Here is a 20,628-nt window from a genome sequence, read left to right as displayed (position 1 = left end):
TTGGTAGGCTGAGGCGGGCAGATCATCTGAGGTCAGGAGTTTGAGACCAGCCTGACCAACATGGAGAAACCCCATCTCTACTGAAAATACAAAATTAGCCAGGCGTGGTGGCACATGCCTGTAATCCCAGCTACTCGGGAGGCTGAGGCAGTAGAATCACTTGAACTGGGAGGCGGAGGTTGCAGTGAGCCGAGACCACGCCATTGAACTCCAGCCTGGGCAACAAGAGTGAAACTACATCTCAAAAAAAAAAAAAAAAAAAATTAGCTGGGTGTGGTGATAGTCCCATCTACATGGGGAGCTGAAGAGGGAGAACTGCTTGAGTCCAGAAGTCAAGTATACAGTGAGCCAAGATTGTGCCACTGCACTCCACCATGGGTGACAAAGTGAGACTCTGTCTCAGGAAAAAAAAAAGGGGGGGAGGGGGAGGGGTGAAAAAGATAAGCTACAGACCAATGGAAACCAAAAATCCCATAAAGGAATCTCAAAGAACTCTCAAAACTCAACAGAAGAAACAATCCAATCAGAAAATGGGTGAAAGACAGGAATATTCCACTGAAGCGAAACACAGGTGTCCACCACTGGGAAATGCAAATGAAAAACCACCGTGAGGCATCACGACACACCTGTCAGAACGGCTGAAGTAAAAACATGTGGACACCACTAAGTGCTGTGGAGGATTCAGGGAAACTGATCATCCTAGGTTGCCGGTGAGGACATGAGTTTGACAGTTTGTGGCCAGGTGCGGTGGCTCACGCCTGTAATCCCAGAACTTTGGGAGGCTGAGGCGGGCAGATCACGAAGTCAGGAGATCGAGACCATCCTGGCTAACATGGTGAAACCCCGTCTCTACTAAAAATACAAAAAACTAGCCGGGCGTGGTGGCGGGCGCCTGTAGTCCCAGCTATGGGGAGGCTGAGGCAGGAGAATGGCATGAACCCGGGAGGCAGAGCTTGCAGTGAGCCGAGACTGCGCCACTGCACTCCAGCCTGGGCAAAAGAGTGAGACTCCGTCTCAAAAAAAAAAAAAAAAAGTTTGATTGTTTAAAAAACGAAACATGCAACAACCCTATGACCAAGCATTTACACTCCTCGAAAACTAATCCTGACACAGAAACCTGTACATGAATAGTCGTAGCAGCTTTATTTGGAATAGCCCCAAACTGGAAACATCCCAGGTGTCCTTCAGGGGGCCAATGCATACACCACGGAATACCACTCAGCAATAAAAAGGAGCAAACTGTTGACACATGCAATGCCTGGATGATCTCCCGAGAATGACGCCGAGTGAAAAAAGACAATCCCGAATGCTTACACACTATGCTCCCATTTATACAACATTCTTGAAATGACAAAATAAGAAGAGATGAACGATTAGTGGTTACCAGGAGTTAGGGAAGGTGGGGAGGGAGATCCTTGTGGGGATGGGACTTCTTTATCCTGATTGCAGTGGTAGTTACACAGATGTACATGTGACAAATGATTTGGACTGTCCACCCACATCGCACCAGTGTCAGAGTCTTTGTTGGAATACTGCATTACAACCATATAAGATGTAACCATGGAGGGAAACTAGATGAAGGGTGCGTGGGGCCCTTACCTTTACAACTTCCTATCATCTGAAATTATTTCAAAATATAAAGTTAGGAAAAAAGAAAGCAACAGCTCTAAGTGCAGTATGGCATCCTGGATTGGCTGCTGCAGCAGAAAAGGGACATTGGGAAAAATGGTAAAATCCAAATAAACTCTAGCTATTAGTATGATTGCACCTTTAGTTTTGATAAATGTACCAAGGTTATATGTAAGCTGTTAACATTAGGGGAACCTGGGTGAAAGGTGTATGAAACTTCTGTGAATCTGGGCACGGTGGCTCACGCCTATAATCTCAACACTTTGGGAGGCCGAGGCAGGAGGATCGCTTGAGCCTAGGAGTTCGAGACTACCCCAGGCAACATAATGAGACCCTATCTCTACAAAAAAAAATTAAAAGTATTAGCTGGGTGTGGTGGTGCCTACCTGTAGTCCCTACTACTCAGGAGGCTGAGGTGGCAGGATGGCCTGAACCAGGGAGGTCGAGGCTGCAGCAAGCCGTGATCACACCACTGCACTCCAGTCTGGGCGACAGAGCAAGATCTTGTCTCAATAATAATAATAATAATAATAATAATAATAAATAAATAAAAAATTGAAAACTCTGATGCCGACTCTGATTAAATCACAAGCTCTGGTGGCAGGTCCACGTATTTTTAATTTGCCAGGTGATTCTGGTGTGCAGCCAAGGTTAAGAATCCCTGATCTTAGCTCACACCTATAATCCCAGCACTTTGGGAGGCCAAGGCAGGCAGATCACCTGAGGTCAGGAGTTCAAGATCAGCCTGGCCAACATGGTGAAACCCCATCTCTACTAAAAATACAAAAATTAGCCGGGTGTGGTGGTGGGCACCTGTAATCCCAGCTACTCAGGGGGCTGAGACAGGAGAATGGCTTGAACCTGGGAGGTGGAGGTTGCAGTGAGCCAAGATCTCACCACTGCACTCCAGCCTGGGTGACAGAGTGAGACTCCATCTCAAATAAACAAACAAAAAACCACTGTTCTGGAGAGAGGATTTTAAAGCATCTGTTTCCAACCCGGGCTTGCTCTCAGAGTTTATTCCTTGAGGACAATTTCTAAGCAAGGATATCACTGTTGTTTTGACCTTCAGTCCCATTTATAAGGGTCCAAATTCCTTTGAGAAAAGTTCCAGAAATCCTCCTCCCTCCCTACCCAATCTATGATCCTATGTCCTTGTGATGCCCGTTTCCACACAGCTGAAGAACTACGGAAGGAAAATGTAGTAAACTAGAAGAAAAAGACAAATGCCTTCCTGTTCCCACTTCTCTAAAACCCCATAGCTAGGAACAGAAAAAAAGGAAAAGACTTGAAATGTTCTAGAGATATAACAAAAACTTTTTTTTTTTTAAAGAGGATCCACCTGGTTCATGAACCCTCCCTCACTGCTCTCTGCACATCACGGCCACACAGCACCTGCAGGGAGGCTGTGGGGAGGTGTGGAGCAGGTGCAACAGGCAGCTACTCTCCTGGGGGCCACACGGCGGAGAGAGGATTCGATGCAGCATGACGATCCCTTCCTCCCAGGCATGACCTCTTCTCAGAACACGGGAACTGACAACACTGCGAGTGGCAACTCAGCAGGTGGGCAGAGAAGCAGAAAGGGGCCCTCAGCACCACTAGGCCAGCTCTCAGAATCAGAAGAGCAGCCTCCAGGGAGGGAGCAGGGCTACAGGGACAGCCTACGGGCAGTGGAGCTTCTGGTTTGGCACATGGGAAAGGCTGGGGCGCATGCGCTGAAACATGACACCATCAGGGAAGCCAGAAAGGACAACATGGACAAGGCCATCGATCTGAACCCCCAGCCAAAATGGGTGCTCTCGGCTTGCTCAAAAAGTGCTGCCAGCAGCGATAGGTTGGCAAATTAAAAGCAAACAAATAGAGGTCACGGCCACACAAAGGCAGTAACTGCACTCACAAGGTGGCTCAGCCCAAAGAGGTCTGAATCTGAATATGCCGCACTGTCCCTGCCCCGGGGGAGAAGGGGAAGGCTGGGCCCTGGGAACTAGAGATGATGGCATTCCTTTCATTCCTTCCTGAGGCGGGCCTGGAGGGCTGTGCCCTGGTGACTCCTGTCTCCTAAAGGAGGGCAGGGCCGGCTGAAGGATCCAGGCATTGATGTCTAGTTCTGAGGACACCCAGGACCCGCAACTACAAGGGCCATCTAAAACGTGGCCTGGAGGGGATGGGGGCAGGCGGGCACAAAACTTCTGCTCAGCTCACTCCAGCTCCCCACGTGCTCATCTGTTCCCCAGATCTGGGGCTGCCTAGTGAGCCGTTAAACGCCTGGGTTCCGCCCAGGGCTGCCTTCCACCGGGACGCCGGGCCTGCTGTGGCTGGACCCTACAGGAGACAAGGGAAGGAGAATTAACATCAAAGCTGGTAAAGTATCCTGTCAAAACCAAGTGCCAAATCCTCTGTGGGACAGGAAGGGGCAGCTAAGACAGGTGCTTCGGGATGCCTTGGGAAGTATCAGAGCAGAAACAGGAGCGACTGGTTAGCAGATGGTCAGCCAACAGATGCCTTCCCTGGGAGACGGGGAAGCTGGGGCTGTGGATTTCTGGCCCCGAGGGTCCCAGGTCATTATGCTGAACAAGAGGCACCTTCCCGGGACGATACAGCACCCTGTGCTGGAAGGAAGCACCATTTTCCACAGTGGAGGAGTCTCATGACCCCTCCTGTCTTCCAGAAGGATGGAAGGGAGCGCCCACCCCACACCCCTGGAGAAAAATGCCCCCCAGCCTGGGGAGCCATGGGCTCTGCTCCTCCCTCAGCTGAAGGGCCAGGAAAGGGAAGTGAAGGGGCAGGGAGAGGGAAGATATTTACCTTACGTGTGCTCTGAAAACAAAAAACGCGCACTAGTCCACAGTCATTTATCAACTGCAGTTTCCAACTGTGCCAAAGAGGGAAAGGTCTACTGGGAAGGCTAAAGAGAGCAGAGAGAGAAAGAAGAGGAGAAGCTATTGAGCAGAAATGGTTGTGCCTCTTGGCTCCGGGCAGCACCATGGAGAGGGCCGGTGCCCCGGGCAGGGGAAGCTGAGGGAGAGCTGGCAGCTGCAGTGCTGGTGCTGCGCTGCCCCACAGCCTGCGGCTCAGGATGGCAGAGAAAGCCAGGAGCACAGCATGGAGGGCTGCACAGTGTGGGGACTGCCTTTCCCTCGGCAATACAGTTCCATGAAGAACTGACGTGGAGGACCTACCCAGGATTTGAAATAGTAGGCCAGGGGTCAGACAACTTTTTCTGTAAAGGACCAATATTTTTAGTTTTTGTAGGTCATATAGTCTCTGTCACAGCTACTCAGCTCCACTGCTGTAACTCAAAGGCAGCCATAGCAATCTACAAACAGATGTGTGGGTTCTCATAAAACTTCATTCTCAAAAATAGGCTGCTAGCCAGATGTGGCCCTTGCACCACTATTTGCCAACCCCTGCTGTAGGCAATTTAAAATTATTGTGTCTTCCAAGTCTCAAAAAAGGCACTTCTCTGCTGGGCGTCTAGTGCCAAGGTCTCCAGAAACTGGTTCTCATCTGCATGATTTAAGCAGTGCCCCACCAAAATCTCCAGGTGTGCAGCGGCCCTACGCTCCTCCGGACAGTGAAGTGCCAAGCTCACGGGACAAAATGCAGGACAACCCGAGTTCAGGCAAGAAACAGAAAGACAGCAGGCCAGCCTCACTGAAGCAACTGTCAGGTTGTACTTAAGTGAAAATAACCAACATTGTGTCTAGAGAATAATCCATTACAAAGAGGAAATGACCCACAAAGCCACTATCAACTATTCTCTTACAGGACGGCCCAGTGAAGATTATTTAAAAATCTCCGGGTGTGCAGTGATGGGAAGAGCATTATTTTGGGATTAGGTCTGTATCTTCACTACAACACGTGCAGTCTGAGTAGCAGTGAGCCAGAAAAAGGCTCACATGTGGGAGAACCAAAACCAAAAGACTCCCATTTTTAAAACCTTGGCCTCTGAGACCCCAGTGTAATGTGACAATGTGAACTTCTGTAGAAGGGGCACCCCATACAATAAGAAACCATCACAGTGGGTAAGCACAGAAGCCTCAACAACCCTAAAAGGTGCGGCACTAGCTACTCGTCCAGCTACTTTGGAGGCTGAGGCAGGAGGATCACTTGAGCCCAGAGTATGAAGCCAGCCTGGGCACCATGGCAAGACCTTATCTCTTAAAAAAAAGTGCAGCACCATCCTTAGAGAGATCTCTTTAGGAAGAGATGCAACCCATCCCCAGATCCAAGACTTAAGCAGCACGACCTCACCCGCTGCCTTTTTGCCAACACCCAGATCTGGAGCCCACAGGGGCTGAAGCATCCACATGGCCCAGGGTGGGATTTCTGTCCCTTGCACCTGCATGTGACCTCACAATTCAGAAAGGACTATTAGAAAAACATGTTTGTGCTCTCGAGTGTGGGTCTGAGCAGCCACAGTGGCTCCACGGGAGGCCTACAGGAAGCAGGTCAGAGTCCCTGGGCCTTCTCTCTGGCTCTCATTCCTGCCCTGTAGAACAGGCAGAACAGCTAGCAGCCCTCTGGCCACGGGGAGGTTAGCAGAGTTAGACATGGAAGCTCCTAGCACAGTGCCTGGCAGAGGAAGTGCTGATAACAGCTTGTCTTCCTCGTGGTGGGGCAGGTGGGGGTGGGAGGAGGCAAGCCTGCAGCTCCCTCCACAGCCCCACCAGCTCTTCCAGGAATCTCAAGTTCAGGCATATCTCTGACCCCAACCTTAGGAACGCAATCAGAATTAAAGTATCTTCTTGAAAAACAAGAACAAGAAACCCTTCACCACTCCTACCCACAGCCTACACTTCAGACTCTTTCACCTCCCTCCTTGCAGTGTGGGGATGGGGTTCCATATCCCACAACCTTTAGTTCGATTTGCAAAATTTCTTCCAACACAATCTTCCTGCTCGCAGTGGAGCACTGGATGGGCCACGCTTAAATATTAGTATGAACTGACCAAACTCTTCACAAATGCCCTTCTAGTGTCTAGGATGGTGTCTGCCAGCCACACACCCTCTAAGCCAGGGCCACTGCTGACTCAAAGTGACCTAAACTTAATCTTAAATGGCCAAAAGAGTGTCTGAACTAAAACTTATTCCCACTTCCCAACAAATCTCTGATTAAGTCAATCCATTCTAAGACGTCCTTGAGAGAAATACCGACTTACTATACTCTACTCTAAATACCAGTTAGTCTATAGTTTGGTGTCATCCATGCTATTAAAGACAGCAAGAAGTTCAAGTTGAATAATGAATTAAAAAAAAAAAAAGCAAGAAGGGGGTTGGGCACAGTGGTTCATGCCTGTAATCCCAGCACTTTGGGAAGGTGAGGCAGGCGGATCATCTGAGGTCAGGAGTTCAAGACCAGCCTGGCCAACATGGTGAAACCCCATCTCTACTAAAAATACAAAAATTGGCCAGGCGTGGTCGTGGGCGCCTGTATTCCCAGCTACTCAGGAGTCTGAGACAGGAGAACTGCTTGAACCCAGGAGCCGGAGGTTGCAGTGAGCCGAGATCACACCATTGTACTCCAGCCTGGGCAACAGAGCAACAGAGTAAGACTCCATCTCAAAAAAAAAAAAAATTATTTATATATAGATATATATATATAAAGAAGGGAAAAGGATGGGGAGAAAAGAGAGAAAAAAGACAGAGGGTGGGGGGGCGGCGAGAGTGCAAGTCTGTGTGTGTGAGCTCACGGCCCTCAGGTCCAGACACCATGCACGATGTACCACTTGGCACTCACCTGCCGCTGTGGTGGTCTTCTCACCAAGGAGCCTGGTCTGGCTGCCTGGAATAACCTGCAGGTCGGTGTTCTCAGGGGACTGTGGCAGGTTCTGGGCTCGGGTAGCCAGGAGTGCATTGAGGTACTGCAGTCGCGTAACCTGGAGGATGACAGCGTTACTGGGACCCAATTGGTGAAGCGAGATGCAGAAGGTAGGCAGGAAAGGTGACACCGTGCCCGAAGAGGACAGAGGCACAACTTTAAGCTAGTTAAGGGCAGAGAAGAGCAACTGAGTCAAGTGTTTTTAAGACCTTGCTTGGAAACTGGGTGCAAAGGTCTGTGTCCCTCAGGATGAGTGGAAGGCCTTGTTCCGGGCAGTCTCAGACCAGCTGGTCTAGCCCCCGGTGACACAAAGTCGGCTAAAGCCAGCACCCACAAGCAGCCCAGGCAGTCACCTTGATGAGCTGCAGATCAGAGAGCGCCCTCACGGTGTAGTCGGGACAATACGCAGATGAATGCGTGCCGTCACCTGGGTCGGGCTGCAGGTCATGGCGGATGGGCTGGAGCGAGGACACCGGGGACTGGTGAACTATCAAAGGAACAATCAGTGATGGCAGGAGCCATGCTGGCAGCTGGGAGCCTCCTCCCCTGGTGGGGACAACTGTACAGTTTCGAAGACCCACCCCACCAATCACTCTGGAGAGGCAATGTGCATGGGAAGCTGGGAGAGAAGGACAAACACAGCCGGGAGAGGTTTTGCAGGGGTGGAGTGGGCCACAAAGTTGAGCGATGAAGAATGCTGCCCTCCCTCCTGGAAGCCCAGGGGCTACACCACCTTGTGGGGTGGTGGGCTCAGGTGGAAGGAGAGGTGAGGAGGGGCACTGAGAGCCCAAGTGATGATGGGGGACAGGCTCTGCAGCCTCCACCCTGGCCCTCAGCATCAGCAGGGCCGTGGCTTACCCGAGGATGGCACAGTTAGGGCCGACACTCCATAGTACGTGAAGGCCCCATTCTCAAACTTCAGACCCTCTTTCCCGATCTCCACTTCAACCCTGCCCTGGGAGGAGTGGCAAGGAGAGAAACAGATGCGGCCAGATTACCTTTCCCGTCAGAAGACAGCGGAAGGAGAAACCCACCACCTCAATTGTTTGGGGTGGGAGGGTGCATATCCGCATGCCCCTGCTCCCCTCTTCTCCTAGACCCTTCCCTGGCCTGAGGAAGCAGGAGGGACTCCAGGCCTGGGACCCACAGCTACCTGCAGGATGAGAATGAAGTAATCCACCGGCTGGCTGCGCTGGTACAGGTAGTGGTGTGTGGCCAGCCGGTTGCTCTCGTCAAACCTCACTTCCTGGTTGACACTGGGATGCTTCAACAGGTGCAGCAGGACCTTCTCAGAGATGCGCAGCGGGCTGAATACATCCACTTCTGCACGTGGTGGAAAAAAGGGACAGTGTCCACTGGGGCCTAGTGGCCAGTGGAACCACACCCAACACTGTAGGCAATTTAAAGTTATTGTGCCCACCAGGGATCTCCCGGGTGGCCTGTGAGCAGCTGCCCCTAACACCTCAACACAAGAGAACTAGGCAGGGGCCAGGTGCGGTGGCTCACGCCTGTAATCCCAACACTTTCGGAGGCTGAGGCAGGTGGATCACCTGCAGTCAGGAGTTGGAGACCAGCCTGGCCAATATGGCAAAACCCCGCCTCTACTAAAAATACAAAAATTAGCTGGGCGTGGTGATACACGCCTGTAATCCCAGCTACTTGGGAGGCTGAGGCAGGAGAATCACTTGAACCCAGAAGGCGGAGGTTGCAGTGAGCCAACATCGTGCCACTGCACTCCAGCCTGGGTGACAGAGCGAGACCCTATCTTTAAAAAAAAAAAAAAAAAAAGAACTGGGCAGGGCACCCCACATCCGCCCAGCTGAGAGCTGAGGCCCCCTGGCTGTGGTGCACCAGGCGTGGCACTGGCCTGGCCCTGCTCTTGGTCATCTGGCAGAGAGGAGGTGTCTCTCCCATGACCCAAGATGCTGGCAGGGCTGCAGAGAACACAGAAGTCCTCAAGACGCACCCGCCTGCTAGGAGTGGGGAGCAGAGTCAGTGTCGGCCCTGGGCGGCCTCCTGACCCACAGAACGGTGAGGAGAGCAGGGGGCATGGACCACCCTCCCGCCTCACCTCGGGACAGGAAGCGCTGGGTGGCCAAGAGCAGCTGAGGCGAGATTGTTACTTTATATTCATCATCAGACACCTTGAACAAGGAGAACTCCTCCTTCCGCTTCAGAGGGGCCATCAGAGAAGCAGGCTTCCTCTTCACCACGGTGTCTCCTAAGATGGAAGAAGAGGGCGCGCTCAGGCATCAGCCACCTGTCAGTCAACACGACCACACTAAGGGGCTGCATCGCCTGCTCCTTCCTCCTGAGGCCAGGGGGTCCTCGATGGAGCAGCATCGGAACGCCAGGGACATGTCCTCAGCACCGCTCCCTCCACGGGGCCTGCTCCCACCCCAACCACACAGAGAGAGGGGTGACTATCTGCCTTGGAGCTGGCTGAAGAGAATGCTGATATGATAACAAAGCAGCTTGTATAAAATAACAAGCATCCCTGATAGGTCACTGGATGTAGACTAAAAACTTTTTTAAATTTAGGCCAGATGTAGTGATTCACACCTGTAACCCTAGCACTTTAGGAGGCTGAGGCGGGAGGATCACTTAAGGCCAGAAGTTCAACACCAGCCTAGGCAACATAGAGAGACCGTGTCTTTACAAAAAAATAAAATAATTAGACGGGTGTGGTGGCATGCGCCTGTAGTCCCAACTGCTCAGGAGGCTGAGGTGGGAGGAACACTTGAGTCTGGGAAGTTGAGGCTGCAGTAAGCCATGAATGCGCCACTGTACTCCAGCCTGGATGACAGAGCAAGACCGTCTCAAAATAAAAAAAAAAAATTAAAAAATAATAACAGCCTCTCTGGCCACTGAAAAACTTCTCACTATAAAGCATGTATTCAAGGATTACCAATGCAAATGGGCAGCAATTAACCTGGAGACCCCATGCCTATGGCAGTCTCAAGAACGGAACTAGAGATGCTATGTTTGAAAATCGACGCATGATTAAAGCGATACTTCTGGAAGCATGCAGGGCAGGCGGCCCGGCCATGACGCACAGACTCTGTACAGCCCTGCAGACCTCAGCCACCATGCTAACAGGCGGACACTTTTACCATGCAATCAAGGGCACGGGATCAGCTGCTTTGGGAAGACTTATTTCCACCCCCTCCAGTCTCTCAGGCTGGAGCGCAGTGGCGTGATCTCAACTCACTGCAACCTCTGCCTCCTAGGTTCAAGCGATTCTTCTGCCTCAGCCTCCTGAGTATGTGAGACTACAGGCACGCACCACCACGCCCAGCTAATGTTTGTATTTTTAGCAGAGATGGAGTTTCACCATATTGGCCAGGCTGGTCTCGAACTCCCGATCTCGTGATCTGCCTGCCTGGGCCTCCCAAAGAGCTGGGATTACAGGCGTGAGCCACTGCGCCCAGCCAGGAAGACTTTCTTCATGGCAAACAGTGGGTTCTTTCAGGGGACATTTCTGTAATGTACAAAAGAACCTGCAAAAACAAAAGCACCTAGGGAGACAGAAGACTGGGAAAGGCCCATGAAGGGCAGAGCTCTCTCAGTAATGGAGGAAACTAATAGGACTGCTGCTAATGGAGCCCCAGGTGAGCCCTGGGATTGCAAGGCCACCGCTGGCACAGGCAACCATGCTTGTGTGGAGGTGCAGGCGTGAGCCCTCCTGCAAGGGGGCTCTCTGCCAGCACCCATGCAGGGCTCAGAAGGGGGCCTGGCTGTGGATCTTGCTGGGTTCCAGCAGCACAGAGGCCCACTGGCCTCTGACGCAACATACGCCTGGGGAAGTGTGCAGGCCCAGCGGAGACAGAACTGCCAAGAGTCTGGACTCACGGTAGTCTTCAGACTCGTCCAGGATCTCGGACCTGATGATCTCCTCGATCACGTCCTCCAGGGTGACCAGGCCCAGGACCTCGTAGAAGGGGTCGCCTTCACCCTCGTTGTTCACCTTCTGCACGATGGCCAGGTGGGACTTCCCTGTGGGGGGAGGACACTCATGGAACAGCTTGCTGGGCCCCCCCCAGTTTGATTCATCTCCCCTGGTATAGGCCCACCAAAAGGACACGGCTAACGTTCATGCTCCTACAACGTGCCAGGCACAGAGCCACACTCTTTTCTAGGTTTTTACTTAAGACTCCCAGCGTGATTATGAGAACTGGCCTTATTTTCACACAGGTTGAAAATGAAGCAGTGGGCTCATGCCCATCTGCACAAGGCCCCCCAGGCAGAGCTGGCAGAGCTGGGATCCAGCTCCAGGTCCGTGCACCTCCATGACATGGATGCAGTTTAGACAAGGATGCCTCCCTCCAGTGGAGAACACAAATGCCTCACACATCAGCCAGCCTGCACATGCAGGCTAACAAGGGCACTGACTCTGGAAACACAGGCTCTCCTGCGACAGTCCACACGGGGCAGCTGAGTGGGGCCACCCAGCCTGACTGTCCTTGGGAGGATTTCCTAAGTCTTTTTCTTCTTAAAGTAAATATATATGCTGTCCATCCTACATAAATGTGCATGGCTTCTTGTCCTTCTTTATGATAGAAATTAGAAAGAGATAGAAAGATAGACAGACAGACAGATAGACTGTGTGTATGTGTGTGTGTCTGTGTATCTTTTGGTTTTCCTAATTCTTAAAGCTGCCCATTAGGGGCTGTCAACTAGGGGATGAGAAGAGTGGTAGCTGGCCACTCGGGAGCCAAGCTGTGCAGGGAGGAGGAGCACCAGGCTGAGATTTTCCACCTTACCCTATATGTCTTTCTCAGGTTAGCTTCCTATTTGGTTTGTTTGCTTAGTGAGGGAATGTAAGCTTGGAAAAAAGCCCAAGTCTCAGAGTGCTGGGGAATGCTGGGGAGGCTTCAGGAATTTACTATGTCTCAGATAAGTGCTTTTCATCCACACTACGTTAGACCCGTCTGAAAAAAACAGAATGCAAGCCACCTAAGTAATTTAAAATCTGAATAGCTGCATTAAAAAAGTCAAAAGAAACACATAAAATTAAGTTTAATAATATATTGTAAGTAACCCAATATAGTCAAAATAGCATTTCAATACGTAATCAATACAAAAAATATTCATAGACATTTTGTCTATGTTGCACTCTCTGAATCTGGTGTGTTTTATGCTCACAGCACATCTCAACTCAGACTCCACCTTTAGGTAGCACAGCCCCAGGTGGAGGGGGCTGCCGGCCTGGGCGGCACAGGTCCAGGACAGGGGGATGGGAGCAACTCATTCAACCAGGCCCTCGTTTGTCACTAGTGGAAACGCTGAGGGGTAACTGGCCTGGACCTGCCTGTGAGGGGGTATCTGCTTCAAGACTCTCCTGGGAAATCAAACAGTCAAGTTTGTGTTGTTGTGTGGATCATACTTTACATCCCATGGGCTTGATTAAATAAAGCACAGTTCTCCAGGATGCTTGCATTGCCCTGGACAAAAAGCTGGAAATGGCCACATGAATCGTCTCCCCGCTTTCCGGGAGGAAGGCTAGGGCCCCTGGAGATTGCCACTCAGCCCTGCTGAACCGCGTTTCTAGACACCTTCTAACCCTCAGTGCTTGTGCTGGGTGCCGTCTCTACATGGGCCACGGCTGCCCCACCAGAGTACAAACCTGTCAGGCCAGGCCAGGCCAGGAAGGCCAAGTGCGACATGTGGTTTTGGTTAATGTCTTGGATTCCAGCACCAAAGCCCAGGATCTAAATGGCCACCTCGGCGCAGAGAGGCCTCATCTCGGCTCCCTTCTCCCAGGAAGCCAGCCCCTTTGGCAGGTTTCCTACAGAAAGGGACTCACTCCTTTGCTTTCAAACTTCTCTAGAACAAGGCACACAATTCTCCATGGCCTGCCACACTGGGATGATTCTATCACGAACAGAAGAAAGCAGGCCCTGGAAGATCCCCTGGAACAGTGGTCGTGTGACTGAATCCCAAGAAGAATGTCTGAGGGGTCTAGATGGCAGCCAAAGATGACAGCAGAGGGACAGAGCAAGGGCAGCTGCAGGGACTCAAGGTCACCTCTCATCTGCTGAGCCACCAGAGTGGAACCACTCACACTGATGCCTGCCCACAGGCCAGCTCCAAGGAGCCACGAGCAGCTCACAGTGTGTCTTGCCAACGTCAAGCAGAAAGCCCTGGAAAAGCTTCAAGTTTAATTTTAGTTAGCAGGCTCCAGGGTACCCCAATTATTTGAATGCCAAAGTACCCTTTCATAATGCCCAATTTCTATGATGTTAATAACAGTTGGAATACCTTCTCTCTTCTGTTTTCTAAAGCACCTCAGTGAATGAATGAATACTGTGAGAAAGACAAAAGTAGTGTGCTGACGCTCCTCACTGCTGTTGGAGCTGGTCAGACTCTTTTCCGCATCATGGCAATCATCTGGCTCCCAGCAGACAGGAAACCAGAGCTGGGTTCCTTTAAAGCAGAGACTGCGGCCAGGCACAGTGGGAAACACCTGTAATCCCATCTCTTTGGGAAGCTGAGCTGGGAGGATCGCTTGAGGCCAGGAGTTTGAGACCAGCCTGGGCAACATAGGGAGACCCCAATCTCTACATAAAATTAAAAATTAGCTGGGGATGGTGGTGTTCACCTGTGGCCCCAGCTTACTCAGGAGGCTGAAGTGGAAGGATCACTTGAGCCCAGGAGGTAGAGGCTACAGTGAGCCACGATCACATCACTGCACTCCAACCCAGGTGACAGAGCAAGACTCTGTCTCAAAAATAATAATAATAATGTTCTTGGCCAGGCGCAGTGGCTCACACCTGTAATCCCAGCACTTTGGGAGGCCGAGACGGGCGGATCATAAGGTCAAGAGATCGAAACTATCCTGGCCAACATTGTGAAACTCCATCTCTCCTAAAAACATAAAAAAGTTAGCTGGGCGTGGTGGTGCACGCCTGTAGTCCCAGCTACTCAGGAGGCTGAGGCAGAAGAATCACTTGAACCCGGGAGGCAGAGGTTGCAGTGAGCCAAGATTGTGCCACTGCACTCCAGCCTGGCAAGAGAGCAACACTCCATCTCAAAAAAAAAAAAAAAATAATAATAATAATAATAATGTTCTTTTGTACATTAAGGTCCCTTACTTAACAATGGTTCAAATTACAATTTTTCAAATTTGATGGTTCAAAAGCAATATGCATTCAGTAGAAACCATACTTCAAACACATATAACCATTCTGTTTTCACTTTCAGTACAGCAGTCAATAAATTACATGAGATATTCAACACTTTATTTTAAAATAGTTTTGTGTTAGATGACTTTGCCCAACTGCAGGCTAAAGTAAGTGTTCTGAGCATGTTTAAGGTGGGCCAGGCTGAACTATTTGGTTTGGTAGGTTAGATGTATCAAACACATTTTTGACTTAAGGTATTTTCAACTTACAATGGGTTTATCAGGACATAACTCCATTTGTAAGTCAAGGAGCAGCTGTCCAAGTTATTTATTATGGCTCCAAAGCACTCACTCTTCCTGGTGACGTCTGCACAAAATAATCAGCACGTCATCTCAAGTTGGCACTGATTGAGGGGCGCCTTGCTGGGGAGGTTACCTTGCCCCCAGACTACAAAGTTCCCTAGCAGACACAGCAAAAGAAACAAGACCCGGAATGAAAGCTGCCAAGATGGCAGGGACTCCAGCTCCACGAAATTCAGAGGCTCATTAGCTTGGCAGAGAGATGGAAAGGGAATCGATTTTTAAAACCTCACACGCCACAAAGACTGCAATATGCCCTTTGTTCCTAAGTGGAGGAATGCTTAAGAAGGTTAGGAAGGACAAAAAGGACTTTAACACGGAAAAAATAAAGATATTTGCCAAAGGACTGCACTGAACTAGAGAAGCAGAGAAAAAAGCTCCGGGATGTCACCAGAAAGACATGGCCAGTCTGCCCACGAATGGCCCTCACTCACCACAGGAGCGGGGAAGTCAAGGGGGATTAAAGAGCTCCCCATTTAACCTCCAGGTTCCAAAAACCTCCCCCACTGTCTTCCAAGGGGATCCTTTTCAGCATGTTGTCAGGCAGCTTTTAGAAAGGTCTGTTTCAAGCAGAGGCACTCAACCCCAAATCCTCCTGCATCGGGCTGCTTGTGACCTGCCTGGAGGCCACCCAGCCCAGAACAGGAGCAGCCCGGACCCTGGCCTCTCTAATTTCCTTCCTAGCTACATTTCAACCTGCATTTCAATCTGAACCTACTGGACTTGCCCATCTTAAAACCAAACAGCAGAAGGCCTCCTCCCCTGTCCCACATCCTCTGCCAGTCACTTCTCTCTGCAGCCACACTCTGTGGAGGGCTGTCTACATTGGTTCTCGTACCTTTCCACACCTCATTCATTCCCCAAATGGCTCCCTTGCCGTGGCACCAAATCTGCTCTTGCAAAGGTCAACGGCATCCTGTTTGCTGGCCTCCTCTCCTGTCACTCACCTTCCCTGGGAAAGTGGTCTCTTCCCTTAGCTTCCAGGACATTCCGCATCTCGGGAACTCCTCCTTCCTTGGTCTTGCCTCCTCCTGGCCAGCTTCTCCTGGGCTTCCCTTGCCCCTGACACACCTGTGCTCCTAGGAGGCTGAGGCTCTCTGCCTCCCTCCCATGACTTGAGAGACACTCCTATTCTGCCTCCCACTTGCATTTCACATCAACGGCCTGCTAGGAGTTTGCCTCTTGGGACACTGCACAGACACAAATTCAATGGCCAAAACCTGCTCCCCACGCCCGGCCCTTAGTGAAGGCGCACCGCCACCACACAGCCAGAAATCTGGGCCTCATCCTCAGCTGCTCCTCCTTGTTGCATAGCCCTGCTGCCAGATACCAATCTTCCCAATTCCACCTCTGCTGCCCTCTTGGGGCTCCTCTCCAGGCCTGCCATGAACCTTGTTCAGGTTATCATCCCCTCTCACCTGGATCCCTCACACCGCTGGTCTCCCTGCGCTGGTGTCCACAATTGTTACTGATCTGTAAAAATAACTGATGCTGCTGCTTGATGCTCATGGCCCTGGTGATCAAGTACAAGTTCCTTACACAGCACACAAGCCCCCCCGCCAGGGGACATCCTGCCTCTGCGCTCCTTCCCAACGAACATGAACATTTTTTATTCTTCCCCAAGTGGAATCCCCAACCACCCTGGACCAAGCTCATCCATCGCATCTGAAAGACAAGACCATGGCAGCGAAGATCCTGACACTGGCGGTTTGGAAAATGAAAGACCACTTTCACCAGCCTCATCCTGAGCATCATGACCAACTACAGAAGTTGCCTTTAGTTCTGAACAGGACAACCCTTCCATCTCCGCTGCTCCAAATCTCTGCTTGGTGACTGCTCAACTGTTGAAAGCAGCAGCCAGCTGAAGCCAGACACCAGAGTGAGCTTTTTCTTAAAGAATCTAGAAACGTGAGTGCTTTGAACACCAAAAGGACAGCTACAGTCTTCCACTTTTTCCCTAAAAAAAAGGAAGTCTGGTGACCTGCCTAGAAGAACAGAAATCTGCAATTCCAGATTCACCCCTTGCTCCTGGATTGGCAAACAGCTCACCTACCAGCAGAGCCTGTCCCGGAGTAAGAACCACCTGCTAACGCCAAGCACACAGCATATGCACGCCAGGCACTGGCCAAAGTGCTTGATGAGTCTCCCCCCGCAGGTCTGTTTACCCACTCTTATCACTAACAGCAGAGGACTTTGCACCACAAGAGGCTGAGCAGCCTTCAGGGCCTGGGGGCAGGCAAGGGCAGGATGGAACCTACTCCGCTGATTCCAGGGTTGCAATGTTGGCCACCACACCAGGAGAACCACCCCTGCCTCAGGGGCTGCCTCTGGCAGCCCAGATGGGAGTACTTACCACCGCGAGGCTCTGTCTGGACCCAAACCCAGGCTCCCTCCCCAGGGCAGGGTGGCATGGCCATGTTCTAGGGACACAGCCAGGAGCACCCAAGAGTCTAAAAGAATAGAGCTGCCCACCCAAGCCTCCCACCCATTCCTGAGCTACAGCAGTAACAGTAACTTAGCACCCAGGCCTCCTGCAAGGAATGAGGGACGAGATTACACAGAAAGTGCCCATCAGCTCCTGGCACACGGCAGTGCTCAGTCAGGAGTAGCGGTCATTATCACAAAGCCTGGCTTCCTGCAACGACAGGCCAGGGGCTCTCAACAGACGGTGCCAGAAACATCCTGCCACAAATACCAGGGGGCTTTGCCACTTCTTGGCCTTACAGCTGGCAGCCTTTAGGGTCAAGTCCATCCAACACCCTGGGGTGCTCCCACCCTCACCCTACAGGAGTGCAGGTGTGAGAAGCATGGCTGTTAACCAAGGTCTGAGCACCAAACTCTGGGGAGCACCACTAAGGATGATGTTGGAGAGGACTGCAGAAGAAACCACACCTTCACATCCGGAGGGTACTGGTTTTACCTTCAATCTCCGAACTGCTCAGCTAAAACAGTGAAGGGAGGGATGAAAATGTGGAGTTAAGGGAGAACTTGAGACCTTAGGGTTAGAAAAGAAGAGGTGAGGCTGGGCGCGGTGGCTCACGCCTGTAATCCCAACACTTTGGGAGGCCAAGGTGGGAGGATCACTTGAGGTCAGGAGTTCGAGACCAGGCTGGGCAAAATAGTGAGACCCTGTCTCTACATAAAATTTTAAAAAACAGGAGATTAAAAAGCAAAAAAAAAAAAAAAAGGGCCGGGCACAGTGGCTCACGCCTGCAATCACAGCACTTTGGGAGGGCGAGGCAAGTGGATCACCTGGTCAGGAGTTCAAGACCAGCTTGGTCAACGTGGTGAAACCCCATCTTTACTAAAAATACAAAAATTAGCCCGGAATGGTGGGGTGCATCTGTAGTCCCAGCTACTCGAAGGCTGAGGCAGGAGAACTGCTTGAACCTGGGAGGCGAAAGTTGCAGTGATAAGAGATCGGCCACTGCACTCCAGCCTGCGCGACAGAGCTGGGAGAAAGGGAGACTAAGTCAGCATAAATGGAGTTACTTTTGGTGAAAGCAAAGTGTTAAGTTTCCCTGACTTTACCGCAGATAAGGGATTGACACCTAAATACCCTTATCTGCAGTAACGCCAGGGACCTTAAGAATGCTCTGAAGGAAACATTACAGGTCCAGTCAATTTGATATTACATGTGTGCACACAACAATATCCCAGATACCTGGAGACTACCATCTTTTCTATGTTCTTCTAGTTTCTATCCAAAAATTTGGACCTGCTACAAAGTCAAGCACACAGAAACACTCTGGGAGAGGGAAAGAGCTGGGGGATTAGAGGACAAGCGGACATACCCCTCCCTGCAAATGGGGGGGGGGGGCTATCCTGACGCGGGGGTTAAAGTGTTCGCTGTCTAAAGGATTCCTCCCACTCTGATCGATGGCCTTTAAGTATTTCAAAAGGTCATTCCAAGCTGCAAGGCCAATACCGTCTTGAAAAGGGACCTTAGAGGTCTCACTGCTCTCCACAGGGGTGGGACCCTTTCCAGAAGGCTTCCATAACTCTCCACCCCTTTTCAGGGAGAGGGCACTCGCACGGGCGTCCCCTGCACCATGCCCGGGCCGTTACCTCGCTTGAATTCCTCCAGGACAGCGTCCAGCTTGGTGTCGTTGAAGACGAAGTGGAGCGGATGGTTGTAGAAACGAGTGATGGTGCTGAGCGGCGTGCAGTCTTCGGGATCCACGAAGGCCAAGTCCTTGAGGTAGAGCATGTCCACGATGTTGGAGCGCTCCTCCTCGTACACCGGGATGCGCGTGTGGCCGCTCTGCATGATGCTGGCCAGGACGCCGAAGTCCAGCACGGTGCTGGCGTCCAGCATGAAGCAGTCTTCGAGGGGCGTGAGCACGTCCTCCACGGTCCGGCAGCGCAGCACGCCCTTGCTGAGATCGCTGTAGGGGTCGCCGCCGCCGCGCGCCAGCTCCAGCACCCGCTCCCGCAGCCGCCCGGGCCGCGCCGCCAGCTCCAGCAGCTGCCCCACGGGCAGCGCGACGGGCAGAGTGAGCAGGACGGCCAGGCGGCTGAGGCCGAGCGCTCGCGGCGCCAGCGCCAGCGTCCAGCGCCCGCTCACGGCGGCCGGCACCACCTCTCCCACCAGGAACACGAGCCCCGCGCTGCCCAACACGGCGGGCACCGCACGCTGGCCGGCCGCGCGGTACAGCAGCACCGCCAGCGCCGCCTGCGCCAGGCTGGCCAGCAGCAGCAGCGCGCCCAAGGCGCAGCCGGCCCAGCGCCGCGCGGGCTCCAAACGCCGCGCCGCCGCACGCTCCGCCTCCGAGCCGCTCTCGCGCAGCACCTGCACCTCGGCAGGCGCCAGCGCCAGCGCGCTCAGCTGCAGGCCTCGCGCCAGCGCTGCCAGCGCCAGCAGCCCGGCCGCCCCCAGGCCCAGAGCCCAGGGCGGCGCCGCCTCCTCAGCCGCCCCGCCACCCGGCTCCACGCGCACCGCCAGCAGCGCCGAGTGCGGGCGCACGGCCTCGGCCCGCAGGCGCAAGCGCAGCAGCGCGCGCCACTCGCCCGCGGGGGAGGCCGCCTCCTCCCGGCAGCCCGCCCCCTCCGGGGCCACCCAGGACCAAGAGCTGTTGGCGAAGCCCGGGCCGAAGAGGCGCAGGAGGAAGGTGGCGTCCGGCGTGTCCCGCGCCGCCCCTCCGCGTACCCAACCCGCGCCCGCCGCTCCATCCTCCTCCAGGCAGAAGCCCAGCACTCGCGGGCCCGGCGCGGCCTCCCCCGCGGCGTTGCCCAGGCAGAGCGCGGCGAACAACCAGCCTAACCGACCCGCCGCAGCTACCGCCGCCGCCATCGCCTGCTGCCCCCTCTCGGCCTCTCGCGCAGCCTACCCCGCTCGCCCCGCGCCTCCCCGGGCCAATCGTTACGGCTCTTCGCGCCTCCTCGGCCAATAGGCGGTGGGCGGGGGCGGGCCCCAGGGTCGGACTAGGCTGCGCCGGGGAGTAAACAAGTGGCGGCCAGGGGCGGGCCGGGGGCGTGGGGCTCCGGGCCCCGCCGAGTCTGCTGCGGCTCCGGATGCGCGGGGTGGCAGTGGCCGGGAGGACGCGGGGCGGCGGGCAGGGCCTCCCAAGCCCGGCTGTCCTCGGCCCGTGCGCGGCGCCCGGAGTCCCACTCCTCCCGATGCTGTCCCCCGCGCCCGGAGGCCGAGCCAATTCTCTGGGAAGTTCCCGGCTTGGGAGCGGAGCGGCCGGTCGGAA

General features: G+C 53.1%; 1 protein-coding gene and 1 long non-coding RNA gene across 9 annotated transcripts in view, besides 7 other annotated features; one reads left to right on the top strand and one right to left on the bottom strand.

The window, feature by feature from the left end:
- CNNM3 (cyclin and CBS domain divalent metal cation transport mediator 3) overlaps nucleotides 1-20,235 on the bottom strand; it is a 21,199-nt gene extending 964 nt beyond the window's left edge. Inside the window, exons 1-8 of one of the 8 annotated variants that reach the window (NM_017623.5) lie at nucleotides 19,001-20,235; nucleotides 11,302-11,445; nucleotides 9,521-9,670; nucleotides 8,603-8,772; nucleotides 8,308-8,404; nucleotides 7,803-7,936; nucleotides 7,369-7,507; nucleotides 1,121-3,951 (exon numbers count right to left, since the gene is read on the bottom strand). In NM_017623.5, coding sequence (NP_060093.3) covers nucleotides 3,887-3,951; nucleotides 7,369-7,507; nucleotides 7,803-7,936; nucleotides 8,308-8,404; nucleotides 8,603-8,772; nucleotides 9,521-9,670; nucleotides 11,302-11,445; nucleotides 19,001-20,225 — 2,124 coding nt within the window. In that variant the 5' untranslated portion in view covers nucleotides 20,226-20,235 and the 3' untranslated portion in view covers nucleotides 1,121-3,886. Of the gene's footprint in view, nucleotides 1-1,120; nucleotides 7,508-7,802; nucleotides 7,937-8,307; nucleotides 8,405-8,602; nucleotides 8,773-9,520; nucleotides 9,671-11,301; nucleotides 11,446-19,000 lie in introns of those variants that run through there. The other 7 variants (XM_017003800.3, XM_011510957.4, NM_199078.3 and 4 more) reach the window with 7 other exon arrangements.
- Nucleotides 2,114-6,732, top strand: LOC124907859 (uncharacterized). The gene is made up of 2 exons (XR_007087143.1): nucleotides 2,114-3,192; nucleotides 3,864-6,732. It is a non-coding gene; the product is annotated as an uncharacterized LOC124907859 (long non-coding RNA).
- Nucleotides 2,726-3,345: an enhancer, noted in NCBI's record as "H3K27ac-H3K4me1 hESC enhancer chr2:97498895-97499514 (GRCh37/hg19 assembly coordinates)". NCBI's record gives its function as "activates a minimal SCP1, AML or CMV promoter by ChIP-STARR-seq in primed H9 embryonic stem cells {active_cell/tissue: H9 hESC(primed)}" and the evidence as "EXISTENCE:reporter gene assay evidence [ECO:0000049][PMID:30033119]".
- Nucleotides 2,726-4,207: a biological region, named in NCBI's record as "BRD4-independent group 4 enhancer GRCh37_chr2:97498033-97499232".
- Nucleotides 3,008-4,207: an enhancer, noted in NCBI's record as "BRD4-independent group 4 enhancer chr2:97498033-97499232 (GRCh37/hg19 assembly coordinates)". NCBI's record gives its function as "activates an origin of replication core promoter dependent on BRD2, P300/CBP, MED14 and CDK7 cofactors, and independent of BRD4, by STARR-seq in HCT116 cells {active_cell/tissue: HCT116}" and the evidence as "EXISTENCE:reporter gene assay evidence [ECO:0000049][PMID:35650434]".
- Nucleotides 7,351-7,851: an enhancer, noted in NCBI's record as "H3K4me1 hESC enhancer chr2:97494389-97494889 (GRCh37/hg19 assembly coordinates)". NCBI's record gives its function as "activates a minimal SCP1, AML or CMV promoter by ChIP-STARR-seq in primed H9 embryonic stem cells {active_cell/tissue: H9 hESC(primed)}" and the evidence as "EXISTENCE:reporter gene assay evidence [ECO:0000049][PMID:30033119]".
- Nucleotides 19,379-19,488: a silencer, noted in NCBI's record as "silent region_11778". NCBI's record gives its function as "represses an Ori minimal core promoter by ATAC-STARR-seq in GM12878 lymphoblastoid cells {active_cell/tissue: GM12878}" and the evidence as "EXISTENCE:reporter gene assay evidence [ECO:0000049][PMID:35858748]".
- Nucleotides 19,499-19,638: a silencer, noted in NCBI's record as "silent region_11777". NCBI's record gives its function as "represses an Ori minimal core promoter by ATAC-STARR-seq in GM12878 lymphoblastoid cells {active_cell/tissue: GM12878}" and the evidence as "EXISTENCE:reporter gene assay evidence [ECO:0000049][PMID:35858748]".
- Nucleotides 19,649-20,628: a silencer, noted in NCBI's record as "silent region_11776". NCBI's record gives its function as "represses an Ori minimal core promoter by ATAC-STARR-seq in GM12878 lymphoblastoid cells {active_cell/tissue: GM12878}" and the evidence as "EXISTENCE:reporter gene assay evidence [ECO:0000049][PMID:35858748]".

Source organism: Homo sapiens, chromosome 2 (genome assembly GCF_000001405.40).
Source record: "Homo sapiens chromosome 2, GRCh38.p14 Primary Assembly".
Lineage (NCBI taxonomy): Eukaryota > Metazoa > Chordata > Mammalia > Primates > Hominidae > Homo > Homo sapiens.
The sequence above is the reverse complement of the archived record's forward strand: the minus strand, read 5'-3'. Positions and strand labels throughout refer to the sequence as shown.